Below are 20,600 nucleotides of genomic sequence, written 5' to 3'. Positions count from 1 at the left end.
AAGATTATGATAACTAAGCTGACTAAAACTAAGTAAGCAGCACCTCTTTGCTTTAGTAAAACTCATGTTTGTCTGAACCTGTGCTATTTTACACAAGCCTGTAAGTACAGGACACTCATAGACCATTTACAGGAGAGTTCAAATATGATATCACTTCAGTGCCTGGCATACGGCCCAGCATAAAGAAAAGTTTCAATAAGTAGGTATTTAATAAATGTTTGTTACATAAAATCTGATTGAACAGTTTTAAGGTTGCAGGCTAGTCTATGACATGACAGAGCTCTTAAGTGGTTATATTTGCCATACCTAAAGGAAATTTGTCAATGTAAACTTTATGAACATCAAAAAAAGGTGAACATACAAAACAAAATGTTTAAATACATATGATGTCCCCAAATAACAACGACTTTCAGATGAACATCTCATACCTACTATTTATTTTCCTGTAGATAGCAATGCATTACTTATTCATGATTTATGTCTTCTTAGAAACATCCAATTTCTGGCATTGACAAGGCCCCTTCTAGGTGAAGAGATTTTTCAAAAACATCATATGAGCTTCTCTAAAATAGTTTTTCTCAAAAAATAAGATCCACCTGCCAACAGCATTTAGCATCAGGTGGGGCAATTATTTAAAATTTAAATTTCTAATCAACCGCTTTTCCTGAATCTGGTCTTTGAGAGGAGAATCAGGAATCTACATTTTTTAACTCTCCTAGTGATTCTCATGCATACTGAAGTTTTAAAACCACTGCTCTAATGCCTTCAGGGTAGAGTAAGATACCTGCCAAAAGAAATAAAAGCATGCATTGATCTTATGAAGCCCCCTAATAGATACATAAGGATTTTGTGAGCAGTAATGACTCCATTCTTTCTTCTAATAGGGACTTAAAACTTTGAGACATGAGTACCTTAAAGGGTACAAAAATAAAATCCACATGCAACTATAGAATGAGTTGGTTACCACATTTCTCCTCCCCATTTCCCTCCCCCTCCCCGTCCACACCATATACACAAACCTTCTCTCCAAAGATAGAACCTAAACTTCTTTCAGGGACCCTAGTAAAATTGAGTCTTACTCACTTTAATTTGTGGTAGACTAGACTGGACTGGGGTGAGCATCTCATATACCTAAATGTTCTCAGTTCTTAAAAAGTTGAAAGTTGAATTTGACTGGCAGGTCTTTTGGGATCTCATTCATAGTAGCCCAGTAAGAAAATACCAACACCTTAGAGATACTAGAGAAGCTTAGAAATCCATTCAGTACTCCCAGAGCCCTCAAGACCCAGTTTGGAGTGGGGTTGGTCTCCAGGGAAGTGCACACAGTAGCCAAGCCCTAACAGAAGAGCCCAACCGTGGCTTTGCTTTCTCAATATACGGAAACAGCAGCTGCAGAATGCTCATCAATATGGCTGGCTGGAACTTAAAATCAGAGCTAATCATACTCAGCATCTTCACCTAAACATCAGCAAAGCCTAGGCATTCAGGTGGAGAGGATCCAGGTGGGAAGGTCAAAGCCAGAGATGATTGGGTTTAGTGCTGGTCTAGAATGTGAATTGCCTTTTCTTTGCCATCTCCAGTACAATATGATTTTCATGCTTATCTTGAAACTCCTGATTTCCCTTATTCATAGTGTGACATAAAGTCCTCTAGGAAATAGAGGTTGGGGCAGGTGAGCCCTACAAATCTCCAATGGGCTTGAGCTGGTTGCTACTACCCCTTTCACACCACTCTACCTCTTGAAAACAAATAACAAAAAATCTTGCATTTATATTGGGTTATGAGACCAAGCTTAGGTTAACTCAGTAAACTGCAACACTAAAAGATAGGGAATCCTTTTATACTGGTATAATTCTGAAGACTAATGGGAAATGAAGAGAAACTTGCGTTACAGGGGAAGCAATCTTAGTACATCCACACAAAGTTTCCACTGATATTTATCTTTACAGACCACTTAATCAGGCCAGTAATAAGAAAAACAAAGACATAACTCTTTCTCAAATTCCTTTCCCTATTCTGATCCTACATGGAAAACACATTCTCATTTCCAAGTGGTAGAGAATATTTGCTTTCAGGAAAAAAGAGAAAAAAAATTTGCAAATCACATTCTGAATGCCATAAAATTTGTCTTTTAATTTTAGAGTAAAAATAACTTCTGAAGTTATATATCTGTCTATATATATAGATAGATATATAACATATCTATATAATGTGTATATAGATATATAATGTATCTAATGTGTATATAGACATATATATACACATCACACATAGATATATGTGTTTGCACAGATGTCCATTTTTTTCCTCCCAATTTCTACTAGATCCACATAAATTTTATAAGTCCCATTGCCTTATTTCATAGGATCATTATGCTTGAATCTGGAAGAAACCTTAAGTGTTCAATATGTACATTTTACAGATGAGCAAAATGAAGTCTAGAAGCTTCAAAGTGATTTCTTCAAGGCCATATGGCTACAAGTTTACACAAGAATGAAGATGAAAATCCAAATTCCCTGATTCCTGGCCCAGCACTGTTTCCAAAGGACCATAAAGTCTTTTTCCCCCCCTAAGGTCTCTGCTTAAATCCTATATAGCTTGGTTTAAAGAGCATAAAAGTTATGCTTTAAAAGTAATGGCAAAAACAGCAATTACTTTTGCACCAATCTAATACTTTTATTGCTCCATCTTGCTCCATCTGTAACATAGCCTGGTTATAGAAGACATACCAATAATGTGAAAGAATACTGTGTCTGAAGAAAAACTGCCTCACTGCATTTAGAGGTGGCACTGCCCCCAAATCATTTAGTAATGACAGAGTTGATACTGTTTAAAACATGTATCTGCAAGAGGTTTGTAAAAAATCGATGATTTGAGGTCTTGGGATTATTTGATATTTCTTATAGCTCTCAGCAACTTCCATTCAATTCTGTGCAATAGGAGTTTATTGAGCATTACTGCAGAGGCAGCTAGTGCCCTGCCCTAGTCCCTTGGTACTCACCATTTTCTTACAAGAGCGAATCTGTGCCTGAGGGTTTTCTGAGATTCAGAAGTACACTGACTATATGCAAGGCTGGCCAAAGTACCCAAAATTCAATGCCTCTGGGAATAAACCTCAAACAACAATGTAGCTACCATATGACAGATATTCCAGCTTTCTTGCCCCTCAGCTGGGAGAATGCTGAGGCATATTCTGGCAGCCTTCTAGAAATCCCTAGCATGCACAGAGCCCCATTTCTCCACAATGAGAGGTGCTCTTTAATGCACCCTGTATCAGCTTCATTTCTTTTCCATTTCTGTGCTCTCTATAGTACTTTCTGGGATTACCACCCAGATAAACTACTTGCATTCAAATCCTCATTTTACGGTTGGCTTCTGGAGGAATCCAGTCTAAGACAAGCATATGCTTTGTGCACATAACTGTTCAATAGCAAGCCTTGAGGGATATGAAGATGGAAATGATATTACCCCAGCCCTCAAAAGGTTGAGGCCAGGGAGGGATAACTAGACTTCTAAATATGCAACCACATAGGTAAGACAAGAGAAGACAAAATATTTTTGGAGGATAAGGGATGTATGTGATAAAAATATTTTCACAAATAAAGGATTCCCACAGTGAACAGAATTTGCCAATAAGAACTTACCATGAAATTCTCTATAGCATGACATTCTCAAATACGCTAAGCAGTCACATTATGCACATTAAACAACCAACCAAGGTCTTAATTTTCCTTGGAAGCATGTGTCACAGAATTTGTGATTGCTTATACAATGCAAATTTGCATGACCGATCCAAAGGGAAAAATTTCATGCAACTTCTTGTTTTTTAGTGGCAAGAGTGGTCACATAAACCTCCAAACTGGTTGGACCTGATTAATTCCCTATTTTGCATCTTGTGTTTGAAGAGAGTCAAAACTATCTGTTTTTTCTTTTCATTCAGTTATGTCAAAGTATGCTAATTTCTGTGGGAAGCAAACAAACTGAATAAATTCTGTGTATGTCATTAGGTTGAGAAGCCAGCCCTTTGAGCTTTCACTTGAGCTAGGAATCATGCCAAAGTCAATCACATGTTTGCAGGTCACAGACGTTCACCACACAGAATCCTATAAATAACTCTTAACCCAAGATGAGTTGTTGAATAAATGACATAATAGAGCAAGTTGAATAAAACTATGTGATAAGAAACCTGAAGAATACCCGTGAACTGATACAAGGCTAGCTTTTTCATATTTGCTCTAGCTGGATTGTCTTGTAAGCTAATGATTACTGAGAATGTAGCCTGCCAGGTTCTAGGCACCTTAAAAACTCTATTTAACTCTGAAAACAGGCTAGTAAAGCAGGTATTATCATTATTACCTTTTTATAGTTTAGAAAACTGAAAGTCCGAGATGGTCAGTAACCTGCTGAAGGTCACACAGATATTTTGTCAGACCCTCAAATCCAAACTTTCCCTAAAATACCATGCTGTCTTACTCCAGAGCTGAAAATAAAGCATACTATATTTTAGCTTCAAAGTGTTTCATCTTAGGAGATGCCAAAGAAGAGTCTGAGGAAATATCAGCTAAGAGGAACTTATATTTTAACAGTACAGAGTTGCAATTATTAGGTGCTAATGGTTTCAATATGTCTCCTCCAAAGTTCAGGTGTTGAAACTTAATGGCCAAAGTGGTAGTATTGAGAGATGGGATCTTTAAAAGGTGATTAGACTATGAGGGCTCCTCTCTCATAAATAGAATTTAGGTCCTTATGAAAGAGGCTTCATACAGCATTCAGCTGTCTTGGCCTTTTGTCCTGTCATGTGAGGACATGGTGTTTGTCCCCTCCAGAGGATGCAGCCCTTACCAGACAAGCTTGACCGTGGAATTCCCAGTCCCCAGAACCGTGAAAAATACTTTGCTGGCACCTTGTTCTTGGACTTTCCAGCCTCCAGAACCATGAAAAATACTTTTCTGTTTTTTATGATTTACTCAGGCTCATATATTTTCTTATAGCAGCACAAACAGATTGGGAAATTGGGTCTAATAACATGTAGTTCCAGGGAAAATGAGTCTTTACTTTTTTTCTGTGATTATTTTATCTACTATCAAAAGAAAATTAATGAATTTTTAAGTTATCTACATTCTATGCAATGTATACCAAACATTTATCCCCAGAAAATCTGAAGATGTTCTCAAGGAAAAGTTGCAGGGTTTAATATCAAATGATTAAAATGCGTTGGTTGGGTAGGATGTGGAACCCATTAAATTTCACAGAAGGATGGGGACCTACACAGAAATAATGGCATACAACATGAAAAATAAACAAAATGAAATTGTCTACACTGACTTAGTTTTAATTAGGTAATAAGTACCCTGGATCACATAGCTCTCAGATTTAATTCAAATCTCTTTAAAAATTGTTTTAGCCCTCTATCCTTCAAATCGTATCACCTAGTTTTGTTAGAATAAAGTTTTTCCACTCTGTATGTATTCTCTGCCTTACTGGGTTTCCCATAAAGTGAACTTTGAAACAATGATGTGGGTGTAAGCACTTTATTTGTGAAGTGATCCCAGGAAACATGTTGGATGGGATCACTTCCCAAAGGGATGGGATAGGATGGGAAAGGGAGGGAAGCCAATGAGGTCCATTAATGAGTGTGTTATCACTATGGGCAACTGGCATTCTATTTTGCTGGTACCCTCTCAGAGACTATATCAAACTCCTGTGAATTGTCCCACTGAGGAATGAGGAAGCTGGATTATTTATCTACCATCACCCCTCCTTCTTTAGTTGAGGACTGCTCCTGAGCCTGCCAATGCCCCGTCAATTATAGTCTATTTGTTGCCCTAGCATGTTCCTACAGCTGGAGAACAGCCTCAGGCAGAGGACAGAGAATCCTATCTGTTCCAGAACTGTTTGCAAGGCCCCTGGGGATAGATCATGAGAAAATGAGCATCTCCCACACTCTACTGGTGTACCTTCCCACAGTGAGGTTCTTTATTCATTTAGTTCTCAAGCTTTACTGGAATGACCTGAAAACTTATAAAATGCAAATCTCTAGTTTCGTCCCATTCTGATTAAAATCAGTGGTTGGGTTCAGAATTTTAACAAGAACTCCAATCACTCCAAAGCAGGTGGTCTGTGTGCTGCAGTATGAAAAAAGTGTGCTAGTGAAACCAAAGGCTATTAATGAATCTCCATACAGGCTAACTAGTACCTCAGAGATAAAGATCTCTATCTCAGGCATAGATGTACCTTATTTTTCTGTGTCTCAGTCCTCAAATATAAGCTGTTGCTCCTAAAGAAAATATAATGAGTATATGGATGAGTTAACACTTTGCCAGTCCAATTCTGAAAAATCATTTATATGGGGAAACAAATCACTTTTATATCCAACAGATCATGCATCAGGAGAAAAAGTATCAGATACCCTTATGCTAGAGTGACCGCATTTTTCTAACACATGGTCTGCTGAAGGAGTAAATTTATGGGGAAAATAGGACAGAAGAGTTGACATTAGGACAGAGAATAAAGTTATTGTACTTACATATGCTGGTTAGAAATCTTGGGAAAATATTTTCAAGCCCCTGCCACAGGGACTAGCAGATAAACTAAAGCAGCTTTGCAAAGTATCAAAGTTAGGCCAACCATTGAGATTGTGTTTTTAAGTTTCCTGAGTTATAAGAAAGGGTGACATAGTCGTTCAGAATGCAGTCCCTTATATTCAGAAGTTTTTCAATAACTGAGTTCCTTTCACATTTTTATCTGTCTACTATGTATTACGGAAAGTGGGCAGTGAGAGCACTGGGGCCATGACACTTGTTCCCCTGTGAGAAAGATATTCTGCAGTCTGAAGGAATATGGTATCTATTGTATATAGTGAAAATCTCAGCTCATGTCTCCTTTCCATGGCTCCAGGTTCTCAGCACCACTTCTGTGATCTCATATCACCAGGTAAGGTCTAAACTCAAAATATTCAAGAATGCTCTTGTTTCCCAAAGCCCTTACGATAAATACACTGCATAATCTGGCCTGCAAGTTACTGCATGATTTGGCCTCTGCCTACCTTGCCAGTCTCCTCTGTCACTACTCCCTGTCTCATCCTCTAAGCTCCAGCCTTGAAACTCTTTTAGCTCTTCAAATTCTCAGTACCTTTATAGGTCTTGGTCCATGCCACACTATCCTTTCCTTCTGAAGCCCTTCTCCCATGAGCCTATGCCTTCACTTGAATACCACCTCACCGTCTTCAGGTATTGGTCTACATGTAAATTCCTCTGGTTGGCTTTCCTGACCCCTTCAGACAGGTGACTGGAAGCTCCTGTAGGATCTTTGCAGACCCTAGGCTCTCCTAATCTTGAAGGCTCCACCTCTCATCATGTTATGTATGTGAAGATACACCACACTGCCCATTATGAAATCATTCTTGCTATAAACATTCTGAAATAAGTTTTATAGTTATGTTTTTGAAATTTTTGAGTATGAAATTTGTCATTGATTAGGACAGAATCAAGACCTGCAGGTTTGGTTGTGACTCCGTTAATAATCAGTTGTATGATCTTAGACAAGTTACTTAACCTCTATGAACCTGTTACGTTATCTGAAACGAGGGATTTGCATAAGTGATCTAAGGCCCCATGTAGCTCTAAGAGTCTATGCTTTTATCATTAACTGTGGGGAGGGATGTTTTTAGTGGTGGTAGGTTCATGGGGATGGGAGTAGGGCACAGATTGTTTACTGATGTACATGCACCACAAAGACTGAGTATCAGTGGGTATGCTGGCCAGAGCTACATACACAAGTATATGTAGAAAATATAGTACTAAGACTGAAGATAAGGAAAACTATTTTACATAATGAACAATTTATTAATCTAAAATAAAAGAAATTCAGAGTACTCAAGTATTATTTATTTTCCTAAACAAGACTGACAAGTGAAATGTGAGTATAATTATTTATAGTCATACTCCCTAAGGCTTGGCACTGGTGAAAACCACATAGAATGTCTTGTAAAAACAATTGGGTATTAGAAAGAGCAACTCTCATTATTTCTATTGTGCTTTGAGAAATGATATGTCTTTGGATCTTTTGTGAATATAAATAGTTTTCAAATTGCAGAAGACATAACCAGTCTGTAACTTTGTATAAAGAATTCTGTATTTCATACTACACACATCAATAATTTAATGCAGTCTTTAAACATAGTTATTTTATTTCTTCTGATAAAAAGTAATACAAGTTCAACGCAGAAAATGTGTTTTTAATCCCAACACCCAGAAACAGACACTGATTTTGGTGCATACCTTTTCTTTATAGGCATACACTTGATAGGCACATAGTTCCAAAAAGGCATCACATTTTACATCTGTCTTGCCCGGTTGGACTGGAGAGGTTATCTGGCTTGGAGCCTGCAATATCTATTGCCATGACCAACACACCTGGCATATCTGAGAAGTTAGTGAGTCTGATGGTTCACAAAAGCCATTTTTATGAATTAATCTGCATAGAGAAAGTAGAAGAAAAAATGATAGTAGGAAAGACATGGAAGTCTGCCTTAAATATTTGCCCTTAAGACACAGCACCCCACTGATGTTCAGGTGACAGTGAGACATCAAGTTTGGGAGCAGGGCTTCTTCCCGGCTCTGTGTGGAGAAAGTATAATACTAGTGGGTCAATATTAGCATACTTCCTGTGAGTAACGCTAGCAATGGCAGGGTGAGGCAACTTTACATGGTTTCTTTGCTTGAGGAAACAGATACGCGTGACCAAAATTGACAAAGAAAAAGGTGGCTAGTTCTCTGGGTAACAAGGCAAGAGACTGCTTCATGAACACAGATGAAAATCTCAGGCTCAACCTGGCAATTGTGTAGAGCTGTTGGAATCCTCTGTGAACAGGTCTGAGCAATAGATGCTGGTGTTTTAATTCTTACTGATACCATGACTGTCATCTAGATTCATGTACTGGCGAAGCCTGGGGAAACTCAGATTACATACTGCTTTGAAGCCATTCCCTCCCGCATTCACATAACTATCTAATTTGAATATTTCCTCACGAGGCTAAATCTTTAACAATTTTTTTTTTTTTTTGAGACAGAGTCTTGCTCTGTCGCCCAGGCTGGAGTGCAGTGGCCCGATCTCGGCTCACTGCAAGCTCTGCCTCCCGGGTTCACGCCATTCTCCCGCCTCAGCCTCCCAAGTAGCTGGGACTACAGGCACCCGCCACCACGCCCAGCTAATTTTGTTTTTATATTTTTAGTAGAGACGTGGTTTCACCGTGTTAGCCAGGATGGTCTCAATCTCCTGACCTCGTGATCCGCCCGCCTCGGCCTCCCAAAGTGCTGGGATTACAGGCGTGAGCCGCCGCGTCCGGCCAACAATATAATTCTTTAATCAATGCATAGTGGTCCACTATATAAAGGGACAAGAATTTTAAAACCAATACTCTGTAGTTTAGTATCAGGAATTTTATTTTTCATAATTATTAACAATTTTGTGATAAATTATCTTGCAGTAAAATCTGTCATATTCATGATTATTTCTGTAAGATAGATTATTAGGAGTGTTCTTTTGGGGTCTAAAAAGAATACAAAGTCTTGAAAATTTTGCTAAACATTGCCAAGCTACTCTCTCAACAGACTGCCATTTTATATTTCATCCTCTTAAAAGCAGACTTCCTATAAAGTCTGTTTTTATAGGCTCCAAGATAGATTGGAATGGCAGTTGTCTTAAATTATTATAGCACTGCATTAGCTTAGAAATTATGCTTCATGTAATTTTGGAATTAAGATTCAAGAGAAATTCTAATACCTTGGCCAGCCACACATATCAATGATGGTCTAGACTGGTTGATATTATATTCAAAGAGGGATTAATTCAGTGACAGAAAAATGCATCACAAAGCAAAGAATGAATTTACCAGCTACCTGTGCAAAATAATACACTGCATTAGACAAGATGCTATCTTTTATAGTTCTTACAAATATAGTATGTTCACTTCAGAGTCTGCCATTATCTTGGAATGGTTGCCTGGGCTTATGCTCCATGAGGGAAGGCAAGAATGTAAAATTCTATGAAGATTAAAGTATTGGTATATTCATTCAACGTTATGAAGAATGCTTGGTTTAAAGTACTGTAATGCTAATTCTCAGGGAAATTCACAGGGAACACGTGATGTTACCACATGGTATACAGCATAGGAACAAGGTGGTCTGGAAAACAACACAAAGCAGGTGGCAGATTGAGGAAAGCTGGGGTAGAAGCTGGGAGATGCCAGATACTTCAGTATATATGGTTGTCACTAGGACTGTCATCTTTGGAATGACAGGTATTCAGAGTCATAAGGAAATGTTAATGGTCTCCTAGTCCAGTCACTCACGTAGTACTAGAATCTTCTCTTCAGCCTCCTACCACTTGGCAAACTGGTCTCTGCTTGAACTCTTTAGTGACAGGGAATGCTATCAGCACCACTTACTATATAAATTATTTAATGAATAAAAAACCCAGCAAGCACATGCAAATGCCTTTATGAAATAGAATATGTCTAAGTAAAACCTTTTATTATCTGGATGATTTGGGACTTACTTTTCAGTAGGAAGACATTAAACCATGAGGGAACTGTGGTAATCATTTAGGCTATAAAGAATCTCGTTCCCTTCAATATATTTGTGGAATGCAATTCCCTACTCTCTTTGAAGTGGGGCATGGCCACATTTCCATTGCTTTGGCTAACGAAATGTGAGTGGAACTGACCTATATCAATTAAATATGAAGCTATAAAAGCCTGTGTTGTGAATCACCATGTTTGTTTGTTTCCCTTTACCAGAGTGACCGTAAAAGCTTGTTGAGATGCAGATACCAACAGGATGGGTCCCTGAGTGATTGTGATGAGCAAGCTCTCAAACCAACACACATGGGACTGGCAGTGTCAGAAATCAGCCTGTGATATGTTAAGCCACTGAGATTTAGGCATAGTCTGTTATTATGGCAAAACTATCGCATACTAATTATTAAGGTCAGTTTTAGCAGAGACTATTTTAAAATGCCAATTTAGAATATTTAGCCTGGGTCAATATATGTATTTGGTCCAATTTCCTAACATCTGCAACTATGATAGCCTACAATCACAACCTGTGGTCAATACCTTATTTAAAAAACTACATGTAATTGCACTCAGCGTTTTAACTTTTTTTTTTTTTTTTGAGATGGAGTTTCACTCTTGTTGCCCAGGCTGGAGTGCAACGGCGCTCTATCTCGGCTCACCGCAACCTCCGCCTCCCGGGTTCAAGCGATTCTACTGCCTCAGCCTCCCAAGTAGCTGAGATTACAGGCGTGCACCACCATGCCTGGCTAATTTTTTGTATTTTTAGTAGAAACGGGGTTTCTCCATGTTGGTCAGGCTGATCTCAAACTCTTGACCTCAGGTGATCTGCCCACCTCGGCCTCCCAAAGTGCGAGGATTACAGGTGTGAGCCACCACGCCCGGTCAGCATTTTGAACTTTTTAAGGCACAAAGTAAACACATTTTAGAAAATTGTTCAAATCTTAGAAAACTACATGCATCAAATTCAGTTTGGTGATGATCACTGGAGAGGCAAAGAGGAAGACAAGACCCTGTATGGAAGGGTTCATGGGAGCTTCAACTATATCAGTTATGCTTTTATTATTTTATTTTAAATCTGAACTAAATAATGTCAAAATGTTAAGATTTTATATAGCTGGGTTGTAAGTACTTGAGCAATTATTAAATTATGTTTTATTATATAGAATATGCTTGAAATCACTCAAAATACGTTTTTAAAAGAATGTTACTTAACAGTTATAGACGTCAAAGGAGTTTTCTGATTATCAGCTAAACCTCCATCAAACAAAATGAGCCTGTATCCAGAGTTCCAGATAGTTGAGATTTACCTGGATTAAAATGTAAAAATATTCTTTAAGCTCTTAAAGGAGGGCAGATTGTAGAAGTCTCATATTTCAACATTTCTGTATGTCTGAACATATCAGAAAGGACTTCCTTACTCTATCTTTGTTATCCAGTGGAGAAAGTTGACTTCCTGAATGTGACTCTGAGACCAATAATTATGCCTACATATTTGTAGTGGAAGGAATATAAGAGTTGCATTTATGTTACATTTAAATCTCAAGTGTAACATCTATTGGCAATGTAGCCTTAAGTAAATCAATTAGCTCCTCTATACCTTTTCATTTGAAATTTAAAAAGTGAAGATGAATTTCTATTGCATAGGGTCAATATTATCCTATTGATTTTTTCAGTACTCCAGTTTTATACTAAAATACCATACAAATGTCAAATATGGTGTATTTAATGATATAACACCAATTTTGGGGACATAAAAAATCTGAAACCTGAATAATATATCTTAAGATATGTGCAGATTTATCTAGTTCATCAAAATGTTGACAAGAGCAAAGGCACTTTCATTCTGACCTTATCCCTTCTCATTCAAAATGTTTCCATGGTATGTTACAGTTATCATTACCATTTTATAGATTACTAGTGAGGCTGTATATCTTATACTTATGAGATTTGTATTTCCCGCCCCACTCCCAGAGTCAGATTGGGTCTTTATTATCTCTGAAAGGGCAGGATGGGGAGAGAAGGATGAACCATTAAGGAATATAGGAAAAGGGGATAGTAGGGGAATTACAGAAAGACAGGGGGTGGGATATTTCCATGCTCAACTCCCAGTCCTTCCCTTGGAGTCTAACCCCCTGATTTCTGTGAGAGCAGTATTTCCTTCTCTCCTGATTCCTTGTCCTCCAGTGCCAGACCCATTTTCTTAGTCCTACATTCTCTTCTCTTCTTTGTGACAATTTAAGAGTGGACTATATCTCAAAATACTCTACTTGTAGAGCCTCAATTCTGAAGAACAGAGGAACCCTCACTCAATTGGAAGAGCATCTAAAGACAAGGATAAAGGGTGCTGGAAACCATAGCTCATTTTAGAACTTAGCACTGATATTTCAATACCATGAAAAATAGATACTTGAATATTGGTATTGTCCTCATTCTGATATTGCAAACACTAGTCAAATGATGTTTAAGTAAGAAAATGCATGCAGAAGTACTTTATATTTGTCATTGCAATTTAAAATACTCTCAAAAATTTTTATTACTTTGTTTGAAGCCTTATTCAGTAACCACCTTAATATATATTATAAAAATATTCAAGCCCAGCAATGTCACATTTCTAGGGATTAAACTATGCAGAGTCCCTCTCTTACTATCAAGGTTGTATGTGTATGTGTGTATGTGTGTGTGTGTTTCATTGGTTTTCTTTTCAAATTTGTTGTTTTATATTGGGTAGAAGCTGTTGTTTTTCATTATTTTCATGTTAACATTTATAACCACCTACCTCTTGGCAAGCACATTCAGGTACAGCCACGTTTTTTTTCCCCCCTTGAAGTTCCCATAAGGAAGTCATTTTTATTTCCATTTCACAGATGAAGCAATTGGGGTCCAAAGAAATTCCCCAAGTTTATACTAGCAATAAATGGCAGAGCCAGGACTCAAACTCTGTGCTTTTGACATCAAATTGTTTTCTCTTCTCACTCATTCTATATAAGGATAAAATTATGATACTTTAATAAGATCTAGCAGAGTTTTTAAAAAGCCTCTTTTGCTTCTTTAGAGAAAAAGCTTTCAATGTTACTTAAATGTAAAAATGTAAGAGTTGCAATCTAAGTCTCAGGAACAGGGCAGTCAGCACTGCTGAATTTGGGCACCTGCAAGTAAAGGGCCAAAAGCAAGGCCAAGAGAAATTCGTTTTTCAAAACCTGAGACACACAAAATAAGGGAAACATTGAAATGGTATTCAATGTCCAAAAGTGATGATATGGAATTCTTTAAGTTCTGGCCCCAGAGAAAGACACTCGAAATCATCAAGTTCTTGCTGAACTTCATATTATTTATCTGCAGTCTGCAATTTATAACAATCACCTGCTAGGTTCAAGCTGAGAAAATTGAGTTGTCAAAAATAGGCAATAAAAATTGCAAGTATGAGCAACCATCAAAATGATAAAACTGTCAGACCTGTACACATCAAACAACAACTTCATTCATTCTGTCCAATTCCTGGTACTTAATATTGTCTGCTATGGTAACTAAGCTCCACTTAGAGTTGCTATTAGCACAAATATATATAAAAGAGACTTGGCTGAGTTATTAATGGTTTCATAGAGAACACGGTAAAATTTTCTTGAGAGGAATCCACTGATGTCTGGGAATATCTGTCAAACAGGGCATCTCAGTCTTAAGCATTTTGGAAAATATGCCTGGTATTAGCTGTGAGAAGGCATGAGAGACCTCAGGAAGTTTACATTCCTGTTTTTCAGATGTTTCACTCACCAATTAGAATGTGTTTTTCCTCAGAGAAGTCCTTTTTACAAAAAAAGTCTCAAGCATGAGAAGTTTTGCTGAAATGACAGTGAAAAAAAGGAAGGAGGAAGAAAACAGGAAGAGAGAAAGAGTAACAGAAGTGGAACGGGAGAGAAGGAAGAAGGGAAGGCAGAAGGAAGGGAAAAAGGACTAAGAATGAAAATCACAGACTATTTGAATTTTATCTCTTTTTAATTTTTGAGGTATGTTTAAGTACCTTTATTCTAACAAAAAGTAATGTTATGAGTTTAAGGAGAAAAAATGATGAGAAAATAGATGTCCTCATGTTCATTAAAGATTGTCAATTTTCTCCTTTTCCTGCACCATCTGACTTCTCTAGCTTTTGTCTGGCTCAGCATTGTTTCAGCTTGCTCTGGTAGAACCAGAGCAGTAAAGAGCTATGACCTGTCAGCCAGAAATATCATTGTGGACTACCTTGAAATTTTAGCGATTCTGTCTGAAAAGTGATAGAAAAGTTTATATCCTGGCTTTTAAAATCACTATCCTATTTTTAAGGGATCTGGCCAGGACTACAAGCTACAATTCAAGATCAGCTGAGACTGGGAGATGTACAAAAGAGAAATTTTTCTGAATGTCTGTCATTCAAGGATTTGGTTTTCAGAACTGCCTGCCATGTCCATTACATATACTTCTTGATCCATTCTGCTTTCCTCCCACTGTTAATCCTCTCCCTTTCAGCTTTTCCCTGTAGGTGCTCTTGTAATCTACAAACTTTGTTCTCTCTCCAGTGGCATCTTAACTTTTCCTTTTGGTCTATAAGAAATTCAAGGATTACCAGGGGCAATGCTGCTCCTGACTTGTGGTCCCCATAAGACCTTTTATGTTGCCTGCTGTATTGTCAGGCAGCTTCTCTACCACTATTTCAGCCTTCTGGGTGAGTCCCAGGCAGGCTCCTCAGTCATCAGCAACTTTGAATTGTAGAGGCTGGTTGGCATCTGTTCTCCCCACCAACTGCCACAAATAAACAAAACATCCCCAAGTCAAAACTCTGCTCATACAATTAAAATCACCAAGAAAATGCACATCAGCATTCCACTATGAGCAGCTTATATGTCTCATTACCACCCTGGATCTGTCACACACATTTCAAGCATGGCCCAACAGTCCCGGCTCTATGAAGAACTTAGTGAGATCCAAGTTACAGAAGGATAGTTACTATGTAAAGTATCCAAAATGGCAAAAGACATAATGCCTTGGGGAAAAATGTAGTTACTGAATAAGTGTTTGTGGAATGAATGAATGAATGTATTCATGAAACAAAAATGGCATGAAAACATTCCACTGCAAATACCTACAAACAATGGTTATCCCTCTCACCTTCCCTTTCAATTCACAGGTAAACTGAAAGTGTTCTATATAATCCACCTGTTGGTATAGGAAGACTACAAGGAAAGATCAACTTTGACGATACGTTTGAGACTTTACAAGTTTGGTTGCTGAATATAGAAATTAAACCCAAGGGCAACAAACATTTATGCAAAATTCCTCCAAAGTGATACTCTCAACACCTAAGGTCTACATGAACCTTACAGAAGAAGTAAGCTCGGCTAAACTGGAGCTAAACAAAAACCACAAATATAAGGAAACAGTCCACCATGAGCTAAAGAAAGCAGACACAACCAACAGGAGGATCAGAGTGCCAATATTTTCAGATAATAGGACAATCTGAAAATACATAATTGCATTTGATATAATTAAAGACAAACTAAAACCATAAGCACAGAAAATGACACTATAAAAATAATTTTAAAAACACACAGAATTTCTGGAAATTAAAAAGCAGCAACGAGATGGGCTAAGAGATGGAGTGAAAGAATGAGAAGATACACATAGATGTTGCAGAAAAGATATTTGAAGCAGCAATGGTTGAGAGTTTTACAGAATTAGTGACAAACATGACTTAATATTCAGGATACACAATAAGTCCTAGCTAGTATAAATTCACACTTAGACATATTATATTGAAATTTCAGAGCACCAAAAGAGGTGGAGGATTTAACCCCCCAACTCATGACAAAGTTGGAGGGTCAGACATGCCTCATTATACCCTCCTCCCTTTTGGAATTCAGGAAAAGTTGACCAGCGTTTACCATCTACACAGACTTTAAGTGTGATAAGAAACATTTACAGTCTATTCTCTCTGGAGCCTGCTACCTGGAGGCTTCATCTGTATGATAAAATTTTGGTCTCCATAACCTCTTATCAAACCGGACATTCCTTTCTATTGATAATGACTCTTTCAACAAATTGCCAATCAGAAAATTTTTAAATCTACCTATAACCTGAAAGCTCTCCCCTTCAGATTGTTCCACTTTCTGGATCAAACCAATGTATATCTTAAATGTATTTGATTGATGTCTCATATTTCCCTAAAATGTATGAAACCAAGCTTCACCCTGACCACTTTGAGCACATGTTCTGAGGGTCTCCTGCAGGCTGTGTCACAGGGCGTGGTCACTCATATTTAGCTCACAATAAATCTCTTCAGAATTGGAATCTCTTCATCAACAGTACTAGACTCTTGCTGAAAGGATTGCTAAAGGATAAACTTCATGAGCAAATTACAGTAGGAGAGGAATAGTAAGCAAAGAAACTGATGAATACAGGTAAATTCAAAGAAGCCCAACTGAAAAAAAGGTGAAAATTTTAAGGAAAATATAAAAATGAAGGATGACATATAAGAGCTCGAAGTAGCCAAAGAATGGTCATTGATTGTTTAAGAGAATCATGGAGCTATTGATGAACTTCAGTTTGTGTTGTCAAATATGTATATTTAAAATTTTAAAGTAATTTAAAAAAAGAAATATAATTTTTAACCAATAAAGGAAGGAAATAGGGGATTAAACCAAATTAAGTAATCCAAAGTAGATGATGGTAGGGAGCAAGAAAAAAGTAAAAATCCACGTTTATTCATAATTCAATAGTAAAACACTTGAAATATTTTCTTTAAAGTCGGCAACAAGGCAAAGATGTTTTCTACCACTGCCTCTATCCAACGTTACAGGGGAGTTCTTAACCAAAGCAATAAGACAAGGCAAAAAAGTAAAAAACATGACAATTGGAAAAGAAGAAATAAATCTGCTGCCACTTATAGATGATGTAATTGTCTGAAAAAAAACTACAGAATATATGACATACTCATAAAATTAATAATAGAGGTTTTTAAAATTTCTTCAAAGAAATTGATATACAAATATCAAGGTTGCTTCTATAATGCAGCAGAAAACAACTGGCAAATGTAATTATCCCCTAGCAATTCTGCTATGTGTCAAACTAAGAGAGCTCTTGCATATATGCACAAAGAGACAAAAATAAGAATATTTTCTGCAAAAACATTTATGACAGTGAAAAAGCATATTAAGCAAACAAACGCATAAACAAACTGTCCCTCAGTAGGTATATTTGCACAATAGGATAAATTGCAACAATTAAAACGAATGGACTGCCCATCTGGATAAATCTCAGAAACATAATGTTGAATGAAAAGGCAAGTTGCAAAAGAAAGGTTCAGCATAGTGTCATTTATGTAAAATTTTCCTAAAATATTTATGAATATATACATATGTAGGAAAATATAAACCATGCATGGGAAACATGTAGGGAAAAGAAGCCCCAAACTTCATACATATAATGACTTCTGGCTTCAGGACAATAGGATTTTGGCCATATCTGTAACATTTTATTTTCCTTGACAAAAATATTTGAAGCAAATATGACAAAACTTTAAGATTTTGTCTTGATGGTAGGTGCAGGGATGTCAGTTATTTTCTGTGATTAAATTCTTTCATAATTAAAAAAACAGTGAAAAGATATTCATTGGTCAAGTTGACATTTTTTACCAAGTTTTGTGATATCCTTGTTATAGTACCTGGAATAATATAGGTAAACAATAAGTGTTTGGTGAATGAAATACATGAGAATCATGAGAGCCACTTTGAGATTCACCTCCTTCCCACTCAATGTCTTCTGTGTCCTACTTCCCTTCCCTTTTGCCTGCCTATTTCTAAGACAGTTCTAAGAGAATTTCCATGCAAAATAAGAACAACAATACAACAAGAAAAAGAATAAACCATCTTTCCTCTCCCAGATTTTTAGACTTCTATTTATGTTTGTGTCAGGGTAAGCTACAGAAGAACTAATTTATCTCCTTTGTTGCTGCTCCACCGGCCAAGCTCTTCATTCACACATTAGAGAGCTGAAAATCTTCGGAGACTACAGCTTCCAGCAATAAATTAAACATCTCACTTTGAGGGTTGCTTCCTCCTTGATTTTTAAGAAAATATAAAATAAAATTGCTGCAGGGAGGATAAAGATGATGATGGATGACTTATTCCCTAACTTCCCGCAGCCTACTTAAAAAATTATTTTTCATATAACAAAAGAGAAAGCAAACACTGAAAAAGGTACTGTTATTTTACCTTCTAACTTTTTCGCATAAGCAGCAGGAAAAATGATTTTTTCCCTTCACCACAATATTAATAAGAAGAATCGTAACCAGAACCCACAATATGTATAATTATCACTATTGTCTGAATGGAGTTATTTTGGCATCGTATAGCAAGTTAAATGCAAAATATTAAGAATATGTGTTTCTTGTTGAATGATGAGTTCTTTGTTTACCCATTCAGATATTTAGCTTAAATTGAGTCTATATGTAACTTCGCTTATATTAACATCTCTGTTCCAACCTTCTCTCCTATCTTTACCTGGTTCTGCAATATGAACAGATTATCAAATATCACCAGAAAATAAGTTATGAAATATTTGTTCATCTAAAAGTACCAAGCAATGTCTATAAGGTGAAACTCAATGATCAGCCAAACACCCATATATCTGATCAAAAATCAGAATGCTCAAAATTATCTGACTATATAGGCAGGTAAAGTTATTTCAAGTTGGAGAACATAAAAGTTCTTGTCTAAGTGTTTCACAGGATTTGTATAAACAACAGATGTACTGAAAGTACATTTTTGCTAATATGAGTAGTAGTTTAACCCAACTTTGTTTTTATATGGATAATAAAGTAGATCAACACACATTTCTCCCACAGTCAGCCTAAAAGATGCCGTAAGAAAGAATATGCTACAGCTCACCCCTGGGATGTGGAGACTATCCTTCAGTTACCCAGACAGAAGTTCAGGATACTTACTTTTCAGCTCTTTACACTGTCATATTTTAGGTCTGATCTTTAGGCTAAAAAAAAACCGATCCACTAGACGCCCTATTTTCTTGATAAGGCAGATACAATAACATCTCTGGCAAATCAACATCTTATTTTGAGATAACCTAGAAAGCAGTTTTTTTCCGAATTTCCTAAAAAATTCATGTCTTTGTCTCCTCTATAGCAAACATAGAAACAGAGGTAGAGTACAAAAGGAGTTCAGGAAATTTAACCAAAAAGGTGCTGGAAAAACTGCTAGTACAAAGTTGGAGCAACTGAACAAAGTAATTCAGGACAAAAGAAATCATACATTGCACAAGCTCCCAATACTCTACTAAAATGTCCAGAGGAGATAGTAAACTCTAAGATTATTTTTCTTTATTTGGGTTCCAAGGCAAAAGACCATGAACTAATATCATCTGTAAAATGCATGGATTATTGACTTCCTGAAACAGGATATTGATTTTTTAATAAAAAAATTAATTAAAATGCTTCATTCTCTTTCATAGTTAACATTCACATCATTGTCGAAAATAGAAGAAATATAATAAAACACAATATTCATTTTATTATATTTCTTGGATATATTAATTTGGATATATTATATATCCAAAGGTGAAGTTTAAAAAATTCTTACTCTATGACTTCCTATTTAAGAAACACTTTGCATAGTTTATTAATCTTTACCAATATTTGTGCTATCAAAATTGACTTACCAATCATAAAATTAATTTTATAAAATAATCTAAGTTATCAGAATAAAAACTGTTACTTTTATTTCAATTTGTCCATAAAGGTTAAAAAATACACATACCTCAACAAATATAAAACACGGGATGATGGAATAACTTCGTTGAGTGTTGTTTCCTACAGCCATTTCTCACACCATATAGCAAGACTGCACCGTCAAAAACTGTCCAGGCTGAAATAGAAATAGGTTGCATAGTATAAGAACCATATATTGAGAAGTCCCTTAGGTACTTACATAAAAATATCAGCTACTAGATATCAGCTTTCTAGATAAGCAGGCTGTGTGCAAAAGCA

The 20,600-nt window shown here is 36.7% G+C and overlaps 1 protein-coding gene across 2 annotated transcripts in view; it reads right to left on the bottom strand.

Annotated features, from left to right (window-relative positions):
* The window catches only part of PLPPR1 (phospholipid phosphatase related 1), a 296,409-nt gene that overhangs the window by 119,208 nt on the left and 156,601 nt on the right, over positions 1-20,600 (bottom strand). For both annotated transcript variants that reach the window (NM_207299.2, NM_017753.3), the window contains exon 2: positions 20,371-20,478. In NM_207299.2, the coding sequence (NP_997182.1) occupies positions 20,371-20,433 (63 nt within the window). In that variant the 5' untranslated portion in view covers positions 20,434-20,478. The remainder of the gene's footprint in view (positions 1-20,370; positions 20,479-20,600) is intronic.

This window comes from Homo sapiens, chromosome 9 (genome assembly GCF_000001405.40).
Source record: "Homo sapiens chromosome 9, GRCh38.p14 Primary Assembly".
Taxonomy (NCBI): Eukaryota; Metazoa; Chordata; class Mammalia; order Primates; family Hominidae; genus Homo; species Homo sapiens.
This window is presented reverse-complemented; position numbering and strand designations above follow the sequence as displayed.